The following is a 19,059-nucleotide window of genomic DNA, read 5'->3' as shown; positions in this document are numbered from 1 at the left end:
TTTAAATGAGTAAATTATGTCTTTTATATATAAATATGTAAATTATATCTCAGTAAAGCTGTTAAAATAAAAAAGACACAAGCCAGGTGCAGTGGCTCACGCCTGTAATCCCAGCACCTTGGGAGGCTGAGGAGAGACAGTCACTTGAGCACAGGAGTTTAAGTTTACACTGAGCTATGATCCCGCCACTACACTTCAGCCTGGACAACAGAGTGACACCCTGTCTCTAAAAATTAAATTAATTAATTTAAAAAGATACATTGGTCAGGCATGGTGGCTCACACCTATAATCCCAGCACTTTGGGAGGCCAAGGTGGGCATATTGCTTGAGCCCAGGAGTTCAAGACCACCCTGGGCAACATGGTGAACCCCTGTCTCTACTCAAAAAAAAAGTTTTAATTAGCTGGGCATGGTGGTGCATGCCTGTAGTCCCAGCTACTTGGGAGGCTGAGGTGGGAGGATCATTTGAGCCTTGGAGGTGGAGGTTGCAGTGAGCTGAAATTATCCACTGCACTCCAGCCTGGGCAACAGAGCAAGACCCTGTCTCAAAAGAAAAGAAAAGGATTTTTAGGAAAAGTTAAAAAATTAAAAAGAAAAAAAAAGGGCCGGGCGCAGTGGCTCACGCCTGTAATCCCAGCACTTTGGGAGGCTGAGGCAGGCGGATCACGAGGTCAAGAGATGGAGACCATCCTGACTAACATGGTGAAACCCCGTCTCTACTAAAATTGCAAAAATTAGCTGGGCATGGTGGCGCGCACCTGTAGTCCCAGCTACTCGGGAGGCTGAGGCAGGAGAATCACTGGAACCGGGGAGGTGGAGGTTGCAGTGAGCCAAGATTGAGCCACTGCACTCCAGCCTGGTGACAGACCAAGACTCCGTCTCAAAAAAAAAAAAAGATACATAGAGCCACACAGACATCTCCACTCTGCAAAAAGAACCAAATATTCCGATTTCTAGGTCTTTAGCTCCCTGGCTAATAAGTGCCTGGGGTTTGTCAAAGAGCTCCAGGTGTCCATTCCTGAGTCATATGGTGACTGCCATCATGGAGGTGGGATTAAAGTGAGATCGAGGAGGAGGGGTGGAGGCCCCAGGAGATGGCAGGAGGAGGGTCAGTAAGTGCAGACCAGGTGCATGGGTAGGTTTCGGAGAAAGGCAGAGAAACAGGCCATGGTCGGCTCAGGGCTGACACAGGTCCTAAGAAGGGCTCTGAATGTCCAGAGGCCTATGCCAGGTGAACCCCGGGACGCGGGGACAGGGACACAGCTGGTGCCCACGTGGTTACCATGTACTGAAGTCGGCTCCTGTACTGCAGCTTGTCCCGCAGAAAACCCGTGACAGTGCACTCCTCATTCTGCGTCAAGGGCCACATCTCCAAAGGCTCATTCCCCAAGGCCACGCCAAGGAAGATCCCAAGATCTGTGGACCACACCCGACAAGAGCACATGAGCACCCTCCATCTCATCCACGCCGTCCACAACACGCAAAGCCGAGCACAACCATCATCCATTTGCATAGGAGACAAGCACCAATGGGAAAGGTGTGGTGGGGGGCACGGGATCTGGAATGCTTTCCCTGGGGTCTGGCTCCAGAACAGCAAGGTCAGGCAGGCACTAGCAGTGCAGAGAGTCCACACCCACCCCATGCCGGCCACTGGAGCCCCCCAGGAGGCACGCCTCAGGGTCGACGTCTGGTCTCCCCGCTTCTGTCGCTCCGTGGGGCAGGCACAACCTCCCGCCCAGAACAGCCTCTGCCCCTGGTGTCCGGGTGATATGTTTTCAAAGCTCGTTGCTGGGTTTTCCAGCCCGGCATTCAGGAGATCGAATCATCCTGGATTCTGGTTTCAACTTGATAAAATGACTCTTCAGTCACCCACGCCCCACACCACTTTCCTTCCTGCTCTATCTGATCTTAGTGTCCCTCCCAGCTAACTATGCCAGCGGGTCTGTAGCGCCTTCCAGTCTGGTCATTCTAGGACGTTAAGCAGATCTCATACTTGGCTGCCTCTCTTCCTGCAACAAACGAGCCGCTGAAACATTACCATCCTTTGCCACTGGGGGTCACTGTGACTCCAAAAACAGCCTATACGATTTCCATGTGACTGAACAGAAAAAAAGGAGAGAATTCGCAACAAATATGAATAAAGGTTAAGTCCATCAGAGCAGAAAGAATAAAACAGAAGTAGGCCAGCAACTACCCAAAATATCAGACTCACTAACTAGATAAATAAATTCACATTAAAACAATCAGATATAATTTTTCTTTTTCTTTTTTTTGGTCACCCTGGCTGGAGTGCAGTAGTGGGATCATGGCTCATTGCATCCTAGAACTCCCAGACTCAAGCGATCCTTCTGCCTCAGCCTCCAGAGTAGCTAGGACTACAGTTGCATGCTACTACGCCTGCTAATTTTTGTATTTTTTGTAGAGACCTGGTATCGCCATGTTGGCCAGACTTGCCTCGAACTCCTGAGCTCAAGCAATTCTCCTGCCTCAGCCTCCCAAAGTGCTGGGATTATAGGTGTGAGCCACTGTGCCTGGCCCATTTTATTCAAATGAAAAAGTTTTTGTGTTTGTGGTTTTGGGTTGTTGGGGCTTTTTTTTTTTTTTTTTGAGACAGGGTTTTGCTATGTTGCCCAGGCTTGTCTGAAACTCCTAGTGTCAAGCGGTCCTTCCATCGTGGCCTCCTGAGTAGCTGGGATGAGAGGCATGTGCCACTACACCCAGCTTCCCAGCTTTTTCTTTTTTAGACAGAATCTTTCTCTGTCACCCAGGCTAGAGTACAGTGGCACAATCTCAGCTCACCGTAACCTCCACCTCCCAGGCTCAAGCAATTCTCGTGCCTCAGGCCTCAGCCTCCCAAGTAGCTGGGATTACAAGCAGGGGCTACTACACCCGGCCAATATTTTGTATTTTTAGTAGAGATGGGGTTTCACCATGTTGGCCAGGCTGTTCTCAAACTCCTGACCTCAAGTTGATCTCCCTGCCTCTGCCTCCCAAAGTGCTGGATTTACAGGCACGAGCCACCATGCCCGGTCATACACCCAGCTCATTTCGTTTTAACAATTACTACTTGATGTTGGCCAAGTAGTGAGACAAGTGCTGTCCTGGAAAGCAATTTAGCAATTTCTGTTATTAATCGATTTAGTAGTATCCGCACCCTTCAAACCACTAAGCCTTAAAAATGTCTATACTCTTTCACCCAGTAAATACACTTCTAGGAATAAATTGGAAGAAAAGCAAAAAAGATATAACCAATAAATTATGAACAAAGATGTACAGAGCAGCATTTATTTTATAACAGTGAAAATCTGGAAATGGCCTAGACGTTCCATAATAATGCATGTAGCCAATAAAAATCACATTGTCAAAGATGTGGCTGTGCTATGAGAACAATTAGATATGCTTAGTGAAGCTTAAAAACAGCATGACTCAACACTATCTGTGTTCATAGCATGACTACCAAATCTCTATGGGAGATTTTTTCATGTTTTTCTTTTCAAATAGGGTCTTGCTCTGTCGCCCAGGCAGACAGGTGCAGTGGCACCATCATTGTTCACTGCAATCTCAAACTCCTGGGTTCAAGCAATCCTCCTGCCTCAGCCTCCCAGTAACTGGTACTACAGGTGCCACCACCACACCCAGCTAATTTTTTTTTTAATTTTTTGTAGAGAGGAGGTCTTGCTGTTTTGCCCAGGCTGGTTTTGAACTCCTATGCTCAAGTGATGCTCCCACCTTGGCCTCCAAAAGTGCTGGGATTACAGGCATGAGCCACCACACCTGGCCTTGGCCTTGCAGGACATTTATTTTTATTTTTATTTATTTTTTTTTTGAGACGGAGTCCCGCTCTGTCACCCAGGCTGGAGTGCCGTGGCGCAATCTTGGCTCACTGCAACCTCCGCTTCCTGGGCTCATGCCATTCTCCTGCCTCAGCCTCCCGAGTAGCTGGGATTACAAGGTGTGCGCCACCACATCCAGCTAAATTTTTTTGTATTTTTAGTACAGACGGGGTTTCACCAGGTTGGCCAGGCTGCTCTTGAACTGCTGACCTCGTGATCCACCCACCTCAGCCTCCCAAAGTGCTGGGATTACAGGCATAAGCCACCGCACCCACCCAGGACATTTTTTATGTTCTATAATCCATATGTATTATTGTTACAGACAAAAGCAATAACCATCCTCTTTTTTTTTTTTTTTACAAAAGCAGTCAGGCAGGCTGAGTCACCTCCCTGAGCCACCCCCAGCTATGAGCAGGAATTACTGATTGGATTTTCCCCACTCCCCAGCATCTTGGAAGACTTTGTCCTTGCAGCCCCTCTGGTCTGGGCCACACCACCCATTTGCTACCTCCCCACTGCCTTCTCCAAACCTGCCCTGCTCAGGCCTCCTGCCTCGCCTTTGTCCCTGCAGGACCTCCCACCAGGAGTGCCCTTGCTCAGCTCAGAGCCTCAGGTCTCCTCAAGCCCTGTACCCCATATAGCCCCACATTTTTTGCTAAGTTGCAAGTCTGCAATCTATCTTGCACTTCCTCTCTCCCTCTTCCCCTGTGCCTGATACAGTATTGGGTGAGAAGAACAGATAAACATGAACTGAACCAGTGTTTGGCCCTTTAACATCTGCTTACTTTCTGTCCTAAGTCCTGAACCCCTCAGCTTAGCATCTACTCTTGCAGGTCAAGATCATCCCTGCCTCCTGGGCTCATGCTTTGCCCTGCGCTAGGTACCCTCTCACAACACAGACCTCTTTCAAAGCCTCCCAGAGACTCTTCTCTCCCCCCCATCACCACGCCAGGGTCTCCCCTTTCTGCATCAGCCCCCATCGGTCTCTGTCTCCAGCACCACCTTCCCCATTCACTCATGACCTGGGATTACAGGTGCGCGCCACCACATCCGGCTAATTTTTTTTGTATTTTTAGTAGAGACGGCGTTTCACCAGGTTGGCCAGGCTGGTCTTGAACTCCTGACCTCGTGATCCACTCACCTCGGCTTCCCAAAGTGCTGGGATTACAGGCGTGAGCCTGTGTGTGAATCCATAACGCAGTTAAACACTGCACAGCCCAGCGTGCTGAGAACTTCACATGTGCATTTGGGGATTCGCCTCAAGCAGTAGAAATGGGAGCAGACATTGTCATCCCTTGCAGAGCTCGTTAAGGCACAGGTTGTCCTGCCTGCCCCAGAGTCTCTGCTCAACCAGTCTAGGATGCAGAGAGTCTACCTTTCTAACAAGGTCCCAGGTAAAGCTGTGGCTGGGGGTCTGGAACCACAGACCTAGAGCAACAGTTGCAAGCTGGTGTCCCGAGAGCCACCTCTGGTCCACAAGGATTTCACACAACAATTCAAAATTTCAGCTTTTCTTTAAAAAAATCAGTACCTCTGTCCACACTGGGTCTTTTTTCCTGTGTGGCCATCACCATTGGCCGTCTACTTCACCTCCCAACCCTACAGCACCTGCCCTTCTCTGTGTCCCGTTCTGGGGCCCTGGGGACCCGGCAGCTGTGGCCTCAAGGCAGGGACTGTGCCTTGGAGTGACACTGAGCCTCCCAGCCTGACACGGTGGGCACACAGCTGCCCTGGAAACCCTGTCCACAGATGATCTGCCTCTCCCCCAACTGGGCAGCCTTCCTCTGAGTGCAGCCCAAACATCATTGCTAAGGGCAAGTTTCTTTTTTTGCTGCCTCCACCCACCCAGAGAAACAGGTTAACAAACAGGGACCAGGCAGGGACAGCACAGCCCCAACCTCAAGGCCACTGTCCCCCACATGCTCTGCACACCAGGAACCCCACAGCCAGTGCCACCCCTGACCTTGGTCAGGAGACCCACCCTGCCCTTGTCTTAGCCCAGAGGTAAGAACCCACAACACAGGCTGGGCACGGAGGCTCACACCTGTAATCCCAGCACTTTGGAAGGCCGAGGTGGGCGGATCACCTGAGGTCAGGAGTTCAAGACCAGTCTGGCCAACATGGTGAAACCCCATCGCTACTAAAAATACAAAAATTAGCCAGGCGCAGTGGCAGGTGCCTGTAGTCCCAGCTACTCGGGAGGCTGAGACACAAGAATCATCTGAACCCAAGAGGCAGAGGATGCAGTGAGCTGAGATCGTGCCGCAGCACTCCAGCCTGGGTGACAGAGTGAGACTCCGTCTCAAAAAATAAAAATAAAAATAAAATAATAAAACAACCTGCAAGACAGAGAGGAGGCTTAAGAAAGATCTGTGTGAGTACGGTACTCCCTTCCTGGTTCCCTGGCCCTGGGTTGACCCTATGTGCAGTGACAAGTGAGGCTTGTCACCCCCAGCCCCGGGGACCAAATCTGAACCTGTGCAGTGGGTTAAATAGCATCTCCTCCAAATCCACATTCACCCGAACCCGAGTGTGACCTTGTTTGGAAATGGGGTCTTTGTGAAGTAGGAGGTAGGACCGACTCCAGAGGCAGAGCCCTGACACTGGACCAAACTGAGGACTAGTGAAAACAGGGGTGGACGGGGCAGAAGCAGCATTCCAAAAGACATGCTCAGCAGTGTGCCATGTCAGTTTACCATTGCCATGGCAACGCCTGGGAGTTACCACCGCTTTCCATAGCAATGACCCAATGTCCCAAAAGTTACTACCCCTTCCCTAGAAATGTCTGCATAAACTGCCCCTTAATCTGCATGCAATTAAAGGTGGGTATAAATATGACTGCAAAAGGCCCCGAGCTGCTCCTCAGTACGCTTCCTCTGGCACAGCCCTGCTCTGCAGGAGCTGGCACAGAGCTATAACATCTCTTCAGTAAAGCTGTTTTCTTCTACCACCAGCTTGCCTTGAATTCTCTCCTAGGGAAAGCCAAGAACCCTCGCAGGCTAAGCCCCCTTGGGGGCTCGCCTGTCCTGTGCCACTTACAGGCATTATTAAATGAAGGATGTCAAGATTAGGCCATCCTGGATTTAGGCAGTTCCCTAAATCCAGTGACTAGTGTCCTAGGAAGAAGAGGAGAGGACATAGAGACACACAAAGGGAAAGGCCACGCAAAGACAAAGGGAGATCTGAGTGACTAGGCCACAAGCCAAGGAAGCCAGGAGCCACCAGGAGCTGGAAGAGGCAAGGGAGGCTCCTTCTCGGCACCTTTAGAGGGAACGCAGCCCTGCAGGCACCCTGATCTCACACTTCCGGTCTCCAGAACTGTGAGACGACACATTCCTGTTGCTCTAAGCCACCCGAAGCTTTCTAATTGGTTATGGCAGCCCAACTTCCTCAGCACCCCAGCCCCTGGGCACCAGCCCCCACCTCAATCTGCTGCTCTCCCTCTCCCTCATCCCCCAGCCAGTCTTTGCCTGGTCCTAAGACCCACCCCTCCTGGAGCTTTTTCCCCTCTCCCTTGCTTTTCTTTCTCTCTTTTTCTTTTCTCCTTTTTTTTTTTTTTTTTTTTTTTAAAGACAGGGTCTCACCCTGTTGCCCAGGCTGCAGTGCAGTGATGCGATCCTTGCTACTGCAGCCTCAACCTCCTGGGCTCAAGTGATCCTCCCACCTCAGCCTCCTGAGTAGCTGGGATTACAGATGTATGCCACCACACCTGGCTAATTTTCCTTTTTTTAGAGATGGAGTCTCGCTATGCTGCCCAGCCTGGTTTCAAACTCCTGGCCTCAAGCCGTCCTCCTGCCTTGGCCTCCCACAGTGCTGGGATCACGGGCGTGAGCCACCAGCCCAGCATCCCTTGCCTTTCATTCGCACCTCCACCTCCAGAATGACCCTCATTCCCTCCTGCACAGACGGTGACAGCAGTAACTCCTACAAACACCACCAGACTGATCTTCAAGAGCAGAGGAACTCCCAATCACGATTCCACCCCCGCCGGGCTCTCAAATCCTCCAGGGCTGCCTGCTATGGGGAGGGAGGCACACTTTGCTTGGCTCTCAAGGCCTCAGCCAGCCGGGTCCAAACCAGCTCCCAGCCTGGCCTCACCATCCCACCGCCAAACCTTTGCTCACACTGGCCCCTCTTCCTGGAACATGGGCCTCATGACCCCAGGTCTACCTGTGTGACCACCACCCCACCTTCTAGACCATTTCCAGTAGCCCCTCCCCCATGCTGCACCCCTGCTTCTCATGACCTAGGGGTTTCCAGAACATTGGGTCCAGCTGGGTCCTTCCACCCATCCTTAATGTCCCAACCCTTTGTTGTATATTTCCACAAGGGCCAGGGTGGACCCAACTCTTCTTTCAATCCCTCGCAGGCTCATACCCCAAACCTCCAACAGTTCCTGAGCACTCAACCCTGTGCCAGGCGTTGGAGACAGAGGCACGAGACAGCAAGGTCCTTGTTGTCATGGCAGTGACTCTGCAGTGGGCACGTGGGAGGCACCGGAAAAATGTGTTGAATTTGAGTCAATTGAACTGGATCTTGGAGACTGAGGGGATCTTGGTCTGGCCTCCCAGCCAGCAGGCATAAGAGGCTTCCAGATCCTTTTTTTCCTTTCTGTCCTCATTTCAACTTATTTTTCTTTTTACCAACAGTGTTATCTTTCTGCTTTTTAATTCTGTTCTGTTATGGAGGGAGGGTTGGAGGGGAACAGGCTGCCTTCTCCAGGCATCTGGCTGCTCTTCTGCCGTGGGTCTTGGGTCCCTAGACACTTTCACCAGCCCCTGCCCCCCTCCACCGGCCATACCCAGGACTGGGCCGCTGCTGCCCGCCCGGGGCTCCCCAACACCCACAAGCCTGGAAAGGTGAGATGCTGCCACCTACCCCCAGTGCCTGCCCCGACCTAAGACCACCCTGAGGACCATGCCCACCCAGCCAGAACTGCCCACCCAGCTTGCCCGTCGGAGCCCGAAGTGAGCGGCAGACAGGGCAGACGGCGGCCGTGGGAATCTCAGAGGGTGTCTGCAGTCCGGCTGGGAAGCATCGCAACTTCTCACCAGCAAGAATGCCCTGGTTGCTATGGTTACGGCAGATCCTGGATCTAGGCCAAGGCCTCCCAATGCAGGTCCCTAGGGACCCCCCAGTACTCACAGCGCAGCCAGGTGAAGCCCCGGGGCATGGTGGTGTTCCTCGTCCCCCTGAGAGCTCAGGCGCCGTCCCCAGCAGTGTGTCCACAGAGGCCTAAGCACGGCCTACATGGCCTCGGGGCAGCAGAGGTGGTCACTCAGTCAGGGAAGGGCTGGCCCTGGAGGAGTGGCTGGGCTGCGGGAGTGAGCAGGTGCCCCAAGGGCAGCAGCTGCCCTTATCTGCCCGGCAGCGTGGAGGACAGCCGGGGGGCGGTGGCCGCAAGTCCCATGGCAGCCCAGAAGCAGGTCTGAGCCGGTGGCTTGGGGGTCTTTCGGGGTCTTCCTTTCCAAGGAGCAGGAGGAGAGAGTCCCTGGCAGGCCCCTCGGAATCTGGGGCTGGGTGACGCTTTCTCTGATTTCTCCGACTGCAGCTGCTCAGTGTGAAATCTGGCTCTAGGAAGAGAAAGGAGGAGAGAAACTGATTATGTAAGAGCAGCGCTGCCACTCAGCCATCAGCCACAGCGCACACCGCACCCACGGCCTGCACAGGACCACCCGGCCCTGGCAGCTGGACACGGCTCACGTGAGAAATGACTTCAGGATGTCCGAACGGCCCTGGCCCATGAGTGAGTTATGATGACACCAGCTGGCAGCCTGGGGCCTGAACAAAAGCAGGACCAAGGAATGAACAGGTGGTTTGAGTTCACACATCGAGAGCCATGGTAGAGTCCATGAATGACTCAGGCTAAAGGACAGGTTAAAAAAGCAGACGAGCTCCCACTCCGAAAACAAGCCGGACGCAATGGCTCATGCTTGTAATCCCAGCACTTTGGGAGGCCAAGGTGGGAGGATTGCGTGAGCCCAGGAGTTCGAGACCAGCCTGGTCAGCATAGTAAGACCTCAGTTCTATTAATAAAAAAAAAATTAAGAAAAAAAAAATTTTTTTGAGACGGAGTCTCAGACTCTGTCATCCAGGCTGTAGTGCAGTGGCGTGATTTTGGCTCACTGCAGCCTCCACCTCCAGGGTTCAAGCAATTCTCCTGCTTCAGCCTCCCAAGTAGCTGGGATTACAGATGTGCACTACCATGCCTGGCTAATTTTTGTATTTTTAGTAGAGATGGGGTTTCACCATGTTGGCCAGGCTAGTCTCAAACTCCTGGACTCAAGTGATCTGCTGTCTTGGCCTCCCAAAGTGCTGGGATTACAGGCGTGAGCCACCGCACCCGGCCAGGACTAAGGTCTTTACATTCACTGAATCTCTCACAACAATCTCATGGAAGTGCAAAATCTCAGTTTATCAATGAGGAAACTGAGGCCCAGAAAGGTTAAGACACTTGTCCAAGGTCATACGGCTTGTAAGAAGTGTGACAGGAATTCAAACCCTGTGGGCTGGTGGCTGCTCCCAAAATTCGACAACCACACAGGGCTCAGCGTGTGTGCGTGGTCCTCCCATCTGCCCCTCTGGACTCTGCAAGGTCTGGACCATTGTGTCTGCTCTGCAGATCAGGCTGGAATTCCGTCTCTGATTTAGTTCTCTTCCATCCCCTCGCCTCCTCCCTGTCTCCCCTCTGGTGGGGGAAAATGGCTACAGAGTGACACCATCGGGGGAGAGCAGGTATGACTTGGGCATCTTCTTCATTGTGTGATCCATGGTGTCACCAAAGAATGCTGGCCCTTACCCTAAGAGGTGCCCAGCAGGCAGGCAGGGCCTTATAGAGAGAACACGGGTTGTTCAAGTTAATCCCTTATGCAGTCACCCTGAATCTCAGCCCCAGTCGCTGCCTGCTGCTGCTCCTCTTTTCCTTGTCCTTCCTCCTTTTCCTCCTTCCTCTTCCTCCTTCTCTTCCTCCTCCTCCTTCCTCGTCTTCCTCCTTCCTCCCTCTTCTTCCTCCTCTTTCCCCCTCCTCCTTCCTACTCTTCCCTCTTCCTTTCTCCTTCCTTCTCTTCCTCCTTCCTCGTCCTCCTTCCTTTTTCCTTCTCCTCCTTCCTCCTCTTCCTCTTCTTCCTCCTTCCTCCTACTCCCTTTCTCTTCCTCCTTCCTCCTCCTCTTCCTCCTTCCTCCTCTTCCTCCTTCCTCCTCCTTCTCCTCCCTCCTCTTCCTCCTTCCTCTTCCACCTCCTTCCTCTTCCTACTTCCTCCTCTTCCTCCTCTTCCCTCCTTCCTCTTCCTCCTTCCTCCTCCCTTCCTCCTTTTCATTCCTCCTCCCTCCTCCTTTTCCTCCCTCCTCCCTCCTCCTTTTCCTCCCTCCTCCCTCCTCCTCTTCCTCTTCCCCCTCCCCCTCCTCCTCCCCCTCCTCCTCCTCCTCACCCTGGCAATTCCCCTGCTGTTACAGCATCACTACAAACACTAACGTATCTAGAACATTTAGTTGTCATTAGTTTGGGGATTTTTTTCAGGTTTATTGAGGGCTAATTTACATATACTACATTTTACCCTTTTCAGTATACATTTCTAAAAGTTTTTAGCACATTTATAGAGCTGTGTAATTACTATAATAATCAAGATACAAAACATTTCCATCTACCCAAAAAATTCATTCCTTTATAGTGGAAGTTGTCTAAACAAACTGAAACAAGGTAGAATAGTATAACAGACCCCCATATAGCAGTTACTCAGATTCAAAAATTGTCAATCTGGCTGGGTGCAGTGTCTCACACCTGTAATCCCAGCACTTTGGGAGGCCGAGGCGGGTGAATCAGTTGAGGCAGAATAAACTCCAAGGAGAAGGGGAAAAAACAACTTCAAATACCAATAGAAAAACAAAAAAGTTATTTCCACAGAGTTGTCCATAAAAGGTCAGGACTTTGAGACCAGCCTGGCCAACATGGTGAAACCCTGTCTCTACTAAAAATACAAAAATTAGCCAGGTGTGGTGGTGCATGCCTGTAATCCCAGCTACTCAGGAGGCTGAGGCAGCAGAATCACTGGAACCCAGGAGGCGGAGGTTGCAGTGAGCCAAGATTGCTCCACTGCCCTCCAGTCGGGGCAACAGAGCGAGATTCTGTCTCAAAACAAAAGAAAAAAATGATCACTCTTCTGTCATTCCAGCTTCACTCATCCCCCAATTTTTTTTTCCAGGAATATTTTAAAGCAAATCTCAAACATGCCATTTCACCAGCATGTAGGGATTTTTAAAATATATAATCACAATATTGTCATCACACAACCCTCAAATTAATAACTCTTTAATATGATTTCATATAGAATCCACGTTCAATTTTCCCTGGTTATTTTTTAAATCTCTGATGTGCATCTTAAGTCTTTTTTCTTTTTAAAAATCAATATATAATTTGCATGCCATAAAATTTACCATTTTAAAGTGTACAGGCTGCGTGTGATGGCTCACACTTGTAATCCCAGCACCTTGGGAGGCCAAGGCCGGGGGATCGCTTCAGCCCAGGGCTTTGAGACCAGCCCGGGCAACATAGTGAGAACCCGTATCTACCAACAAAAATTTTTTTAATTAGGTGGGTGTAGTGGCACGGGCCTGTGGTCCCAGCTACTTGGGAGGCTGAGATGGGAGGATCACTTGAGCCAGGGAGGTCAAGGCTGCAGTGAACCATGATCACGCCACTGCACTCCAGCATGGGTGACAAAGCAAGACCCTGTCTCAAAATAAATAAATAAAGTGTGCAACAGCCAGGTGCAGTGGCTCACTCCTGTCATCCCTGCAGTTTGGGAGGCCAAGGCAGGTGGATCACCTGAGGTCAGGGATTCGAGACCAGCCTGGCCAATATGGCAAAACCCTATCTCTACTAAACATACAAAAGATTAGCCAGGCACGGTGGTGCGCACCTGTAATCCCAGCTACTCAGGAGGCTGAGGCAGGAGAATCACTTGAACCCGGGAGGCAGAGGTTGCAGTGAGCCGAGGTAGTCCCACTGCACTCCAGCCTGGGTGACAGAGTGAGATCCGTCTCAAAAATAAATAAAAATAAATAAAAATAAATAATAAAGTGTACAACTTTGTGGGTTTTTAGTGTACTAAGTTGTGCAACAGTCACCATTATTTAATTACAGAACATTTTCATCACCCCCAAAATAAACTCTGAACTCATTAGCAGTCACCCCCTATTCCCTCTTCCTCCCAGCCCCTGGCAGCCACTAATATTCTTTCTGTCTCTATGGATTTGCCTATTCTGGACATTTCATATAAATGGGATTGATTATGCAATACGGGACCTTTCATGTCTGGCTTCTTTCACTTAGCATGTTTTCAGGGTTCATTCATTTTGTAGCATGTTATGAACTGAATGTTTGTGTCTCTCCAAAATACATGTGTTGAAGTTGTAACCCCTAATGTGGTGGTTCCTGGAGATGAGGCCTTGGGAGATAATTAGGTTTGGATGAGGTCACAAGGATGGGGTCCTTATGGTGGGATAATGCCTTTATAAGAAAAGAAATCAGGCCGGGCTCAGTGGCTCACGCCTGTAATCCCAGCACTTTGGGAGCCCAAGGCGGGAGGATCACAAGGTAAGGAGTTCAAGACAAGCCTGACCAACATGGTGAAACACCGTCTCCACTAAAAATACAAAAATTAGGCGGGCGCAGTGGCAGGTGCCTGTAATCCCAGCTACTCAGGAGGCTGAGGCAGGAGAATCGCTTGAACTCAGAGGGCAAAGTTTGCAGTGAGCCGAGATCATGCCACTGCACTCCAGCCTGGGTAACAGAGTGAGACTCCGTCTCAAAAAAAAAAAAAAAAAAAAAGACATCAGAGTACGCTCACTCTCTCTGTCTCTGTCTTTGTCTCTCTCTCTCTCTGTCTCTTCCCATACTCACACAAAGAACTGGTCATGTGAGTACATAGTGAGAAGGTGGCCATCTGCAACCCAAGGGAAGAGCCCTCACCGGAAATCAATCATGCTGGTGCCCTGATCTCAAAGTTCCAGCCCAGAGAATGGTGAGAAAACAGATTTCTGTTGTTTAAGCCACCCGGTCTATGGTATTTTTTTATGGAAGGCCAGGTAAACTAAGACACAGCATGTATCCGTACTTTACTCTTTTTATTGTCAAATAATGCTCCCTTGCATGAATATCCCACATTTTCTTTGTCCATTTCAGATTGTATTGTTTTCTGGCTTCCTCCAAAATAACTAATGAGGATTTTTAGTGTCATTTTGAAATTATTAATTTTGGCCAGGCGCAGTGGCTCATGCCTATAATTCCAACACTTTGGGAGGTTGCGGGGGGGTGGATTGCTTGAGCCCAGGAGTTCAAGACCAGCCTGGGCAACACAGCAAAACCCTGTCTCTACAAAAAATACAAAAATTAGCCGGACAAGGAGGCATGCACCTGTACTCCCAGCTGCTAGGGAGGCTAAGGTGGGAAGATCACTTGAATCTGGGGAGGTGGAGGCAGCAACAGGCCATGATCATGCCACTGCACTCCAGCCTTGGCAACAGAGTGAGATTCCATCTCAAAAAGTAAAAAAAAAAAGAAAGAAAGGCAGGAAGGAAGGAAGGAAGGGAGGGAGGGAGGAAGGGAGGGAGGGAGAGAGGGAGGGAAAGAATTTTTTTAATTTATGTATTTCAATCCATTGAAGTTACTTTAAAGTCAGGCTTATTGAGGTGTAATTGATGGACAGTGAAGCTCACCTTCTTTAAGTATACAGTGCCCTTGGTTGGTGAACTTTTGGGCTGTTTCCACCTTTTGGCCATTATGAATAATATGGCTATGAAAATCCATGTGCAAGTTTTTGTGTAGGCATAACATTTTCTTGTTGTTGTTTTGAGATGAAGTCTCGCTCTGTTGCCCAAGCTGGAGTGCAGTGGTGTGATCTCAGCTCACTGCAACCTCTGCCTCCCAGGTCCAAGTGATTCCCCTGCTTAGCCTCCCAAGCAGCTATGATTACAGGCGTGCACCACCACTTCCGGCTGATTTTTTTGTATGTTTAGTAGAGACAGGATTTCACCATGTTGGCCAGGCTGGTCTCAAATTTCTGACCTCAAGTGATCTGCCTGCCTCGGCCTCCCAACGTGCTGGGATTACAGGTGTGAGCCACCACGCCCAGGCAACACTTTCAATTCTCTTGAGTATATACCTAGGAGTATATACCTATATACCCTGTATGTACATTCAGCCTTTTCTGGAAAAAGCAAAACTCCAGGGACAGAAATTATATCGGTGACATCCCAAAATGGGGAGTGGGGAAGGGGATTGACTGAGAAGGGGCGCAGGGGAATTTTGGGAGGTGAAGGAAATGCTTTAAACCCTGAATGAAGCGTTGGTATATTATTTGTTGAAATTTATCCAACCGTATGCTTAAAGAGGATGAGCTTTACCATACATCAACTATACTGCAAAAGGCCTGACTTAAAAATAACTTTAATTGATTGAAATATATATATTTAAAAACTAACTTTTTTTTTTTTTTTTATTGAGACGGAGTCTTGCTCTGTCGCCCTGGCTGGAGTGCAGTGGCAAGATCTCGGCTCACTACAACCTCCACCTCCCGGGTTCAAGAGATTCTCCTGCCTCAGCGTCCCAAGTAGCTGGGATTACAGGCATGCACCACCACACCCGGCTAACTTTTGTATTTTTAGTAGAGACAGGGTTTCATCTTGTTGGCCAGGCTGCTCTTGATCTCCTGGCCTCATGTGATCCACCCACCTCGGCCTCCCAAAGTGCTGTGATTACAGTTGACACAAGGTAATATAGCAAGAGGCTGTCCCTACAAAAATAAAAAATACAAAATTAGCCGGGCATGGTGGTGTGCACCTGTAGTCCCAGGTACTCAGAAGGCTAAGGCAGGATGATTGCTTGAGCCCAGGAGGCCAAGGCTGCAGTGAGCCACGATGGCACCACTGCACTCCAGCCTGGGTGATAGAGTGAGACCCTGTCTCAAAGCAAAACAAAAGAAAACAAAACAAAAAGTCTAGCACATACAATTATGTACAGTACCTAATACTTGATCATGATAGTAAACTATTAAATTTATTCTTTCTAAAGTTTTTCTTTTAAAAAGTGTCCCTGGTCTACAGCCTAGAGTTTCCTGATTGCAGATCCATGGTCCACTTCAACATGTTCCTCTGTCTTTTTTTTTCGGAGACAGGGTCTCCCTTTGTCACCCAGGCTGGAGTGCAGAGGCGTAATCACAGGTCACTGAAGCCTCTACCTCTTGGGCTCAAGTGATCCTCTCACCTTAGCCTCCTGAGTAGCTCGGACTACAGGCATGCACCACCACACCTGGCTAATTTTTATTTTTAGTTTTTGTAGAGACAGGGTCTCACTATGTTGCTCAAGCTGCTCTCAAACTCCTGGGCTCAAGCAATCCTCGACCCCGGCCTCCCTAAGTGCTGGGATTAGAGGCGTGAGTCACCACGCCTGGACTCCTCTGTCTTGTCTTTCTGCATGTTTGCAGTGGGAACAGGGTCAAGCTCAAGCCCTTCGTCACGATACAAGCGGTGCTGTGTTCTTTCAACAGAAGGCACGTGACAACTGCACTCCACTCTTTGCTGATGTTGGCAGGCAATGCCACTTAATGCCTAGATCCATTAATTCACTGAGGGCTGCTAATTGTGATATTCTAATTCATCATCTCGCTTTCTGATCAAGCGTTTCCCCATGAGGCAAGCAGAGGCAGTAGCAGATCAACAGCTTTGCCAAGATGTCTGATATAAACGCAATATTGTGCTTTCCTCCTATTTCTGGCCTCTGCCTGAAATCAGACAGTCTCCAGGCCCGTGTAATTTGTTTTCAAATGCCTGCTTCTCAAACAAGATTGGCTGGGTTCTGGACGTGCATTTTCCCATTATGACCCAAAGACATCTGAATGAATTTGATCAAATACACTCCTGGATCCGGGCTGTACATTTCTGGTGGGTGCCACCTATCTGTGATCAATGTCACCACATCTGGAAAGCTCAGTGCCACACCATATCCCAAGGGCATCTCCCAAGCTGGAGTGTTCTCAGGTGAAATAAAACATGAAAATCCATGCCAGCTTTACAAGCCACAGAATCACCAAAACAGGGCAACGCCTTAGTCAGCATTTCCTAACTAAGAGCCAGGTGTCTACCACAACACCCCTGAACCAGATCTACCTACATGGAGATAGATTTCCCTGCATTCACTCACTTTTTTTACTTAAACCAGTTTATTTGTTTAAAAACAAACAAACTGGGCTGGTGCGGTGGCACACACCTGTAATTCCAGCATTTTCGGAGGCTGAGGCAAGAGGATCGCTTGAGCCCAGGAGTATGAGACCAGCCTGGGCAACATAGAGAGACCTAATCTCTACAAATAATTTTTTTTTAATTAGCTAGATGTGGTGGCATACCCACAGTCCCAGGTACTCAAGAGGCTTGACCCCGGGAGGTCCAAGCTGCAGTGAGCCGTGGCTGACACAGAAAGACCAGCCCGGGTGACAGAGAAAGGCCTTGTCTCAAAAAAATAATAAATAAGTATAAAATATCATGGGAAAGCATATGCAGATATTGGGAGGATAAGAAGCCACCAACCAGGGGACCAGAGAGAGAGTGGGGGGGTCAGAAGGCAGGAAAGTTTCCCCAGGGAAGGGGATGACTCCAGTTCTTTTCTTTTTTTCTTTTTTCTTTATTTTTTTTTTTGATAGGATCTTCACTCTGTTGCCTCAAACTCCTGGGCTCAAGATCCTTCTGCCTCGGTCTCCCAAGTTGCTGGGACTATAGGTGTGCACCACCATGCCTAGCTAAGTTTTACAGTTCTTTTGTAGAGACAAGGTCTTGCTAAGTTGCCCAGGCTGGTCTTGAACTCCCAGGCTCAAGTGGTCCTCCTACCTTGGCCTCCCAAAGTGCTGGGGTTACAGGCATGAGCCATCGCGCCCAGTCTGATTCCAGTTTTTAAACCTCCCAGAGAGCTCCCTCTGGTTGGAAGCAGGGCTAATTCAAAAGCAGCCCATGGCTTCTGGCAGAGTGCATGGGTCCACTTTTTACACTGATTTGTAGTATGGAGAAAGACCCAGAAATATACTCTAAAATAATTTTAAAGAAGACAACAAAGCTGAATGCCTGGGATATCCATTGCACTGCTGTTTACACTTGAAGCAAAAAACAAAACAAAACAAAACAAAAAAACCTGGAAACCACCTAAATGTCAAACCACAGAAAAGCAGTTAGCAAAATCTGAGAACTGGTATATACTGAGTGCTGACCATGTGCCGATTGCTTTAAATAGAGCATAGCAAAATAATTATACCTTTTTATCCTTGCAGCAACTATGAGAATCAAACCTCCCAGTCTCTGAAAAAAGTCAGATTCAAAGAAGACAGAGGAAAGAAGTCTCTTCAATCAACACTGGGGAAACTATCTGACATCCTTATATATGTATATAAAAAATTAAACTCAACCCTTATCTCATACCACATATAGAAATTAACTTGGCCAGGCGCGGTGGCTCACACCTGTGATCCCAGCATTTTGGGAGGTCGAGGGGGGGCAGATCATCTGAGGTCAGGAGTTTGAGACCTGCCTGGCCAACATGGTAAAACCCCGTCTCTACTAAAATATAAAATTAGCCGGGCCTGATGGTGTATGCCTGTAATCCCAGCTGGGGAGGCTGAGGCAGGAGAATTACTTGAACCCGAGAGGCAGAGGTTGCAGTGAGCTGAGATCACACCATTCCAGCCTGGGAAACAAGAAAATCATCTCAAAAAATAAATAATAAAAAGAAATTAACTTGACATGGACCATAGAATTAATTGTAAAACCTAAAACTTCTAGGACAAAATCTTGGTAACTTTGATTTGATTCTTATATATGACACCAAAAGCACAAACTGCTTTAAAAAATGGGGAAGGATCATCCATGCAAAGCTAGAGGCAAAAAGAAAAAATAAACTGAAAAAATTAAAAATGGGGAAGGGGCGGCCAGGCACGGCAGCTCACACCTGTAATCCCAGCACTTTGAGAGGCCGAGGCAGGCAGATCACGAGGTCAGGAGATCGAGACCATCCTGGCTAACACAGTAAAACCCCGTCTCTACTAAAAATACAAAAAATTAGCCTGTAGTCCCAGCTACTGGGGAGGCTGAGGCAGGAGAATGGCATGAACCTGGGAGGCGGAACTTGCAGTGAGCCGAGATTACGCCACTGTACTCCAACCTGGGCGACAGAACGAAACCCCGTCTCAAA

General features: G+C 49.2%; 1 protein-coding gene across 13 annotated transcripts in view, besides 1 other annotated feature; it reads right to left on the bottom strand.

The window, feature by feature from the left end:
• The window catches only part of IL34 (interleukin 34), an 80,784-nt gene that overhangs the window by 4,729 nt on the left and 56,996 nt on the right, over positions 1 to 19,059 (bottom strand). For 8 of the 13 annotated variants that reach the window (XM_047433649.1, NM_152456.3, NM_001172771.2 and 5 more), the window contains 2 exons: positions 8,979 to 9,406; positions 1,283 to 1,416 (listed from right to left, as the gene is read on the bottom strand). In XM_047433649.1, coding sequence (XP_047289605.1) covers positions 1,283 to 1,416; positions 8,979 to 9,006 — 162 coding nt within the window. In that variant the 5' untranslated portion in view covers positions 9,007 to 9,406. Of the gene's footprint in view, positions 1 to 1,282; positions 1,417 to 1,637; positions 1,957 to 8,978; positions 9,432 to 19,059 lie in introns of those variants that run through there. The other 5 variants (NM_001393494.1, NM_001393496.1, NM_001393497.1 and 2 more) reach the window with 3 other exon arrangements.
• Positions 5,663 to 6,163: an enhancer, noted in NCBI's record as "H3K4me1 hESC enhancer chr16:70683694-70684194 (GRCh37/hg19 assembly coordinates)". NCBI's record gives its function as "activates a minimal SCP1, AML or CMV promoter by ChIP-STARR-seq in naive H9 embryonic stem cells {active_cell/tissue: H9 hESC(naive)}" and the evidence as "EXISTENCE:reporter gene assay evidence [ECO:0000049][PMID:30033119]".

This window comes from Homo sapiens, chromosome 16 (assembly GCF_000001405.40).
Source record: "Homo sapiens chromosome 16, GRCh38.p14 Primary Assembly".
Lineage (NCBI taxonomy): Eukaryota > Metazoa > Chordata > Mammalia > Primates > Hominidae > Homo > Homo sapiens.
Note: the sequence above shows the minus strand (reverse complement) of the source record. Positions and strands in the feature narration are given on the sequence as shown.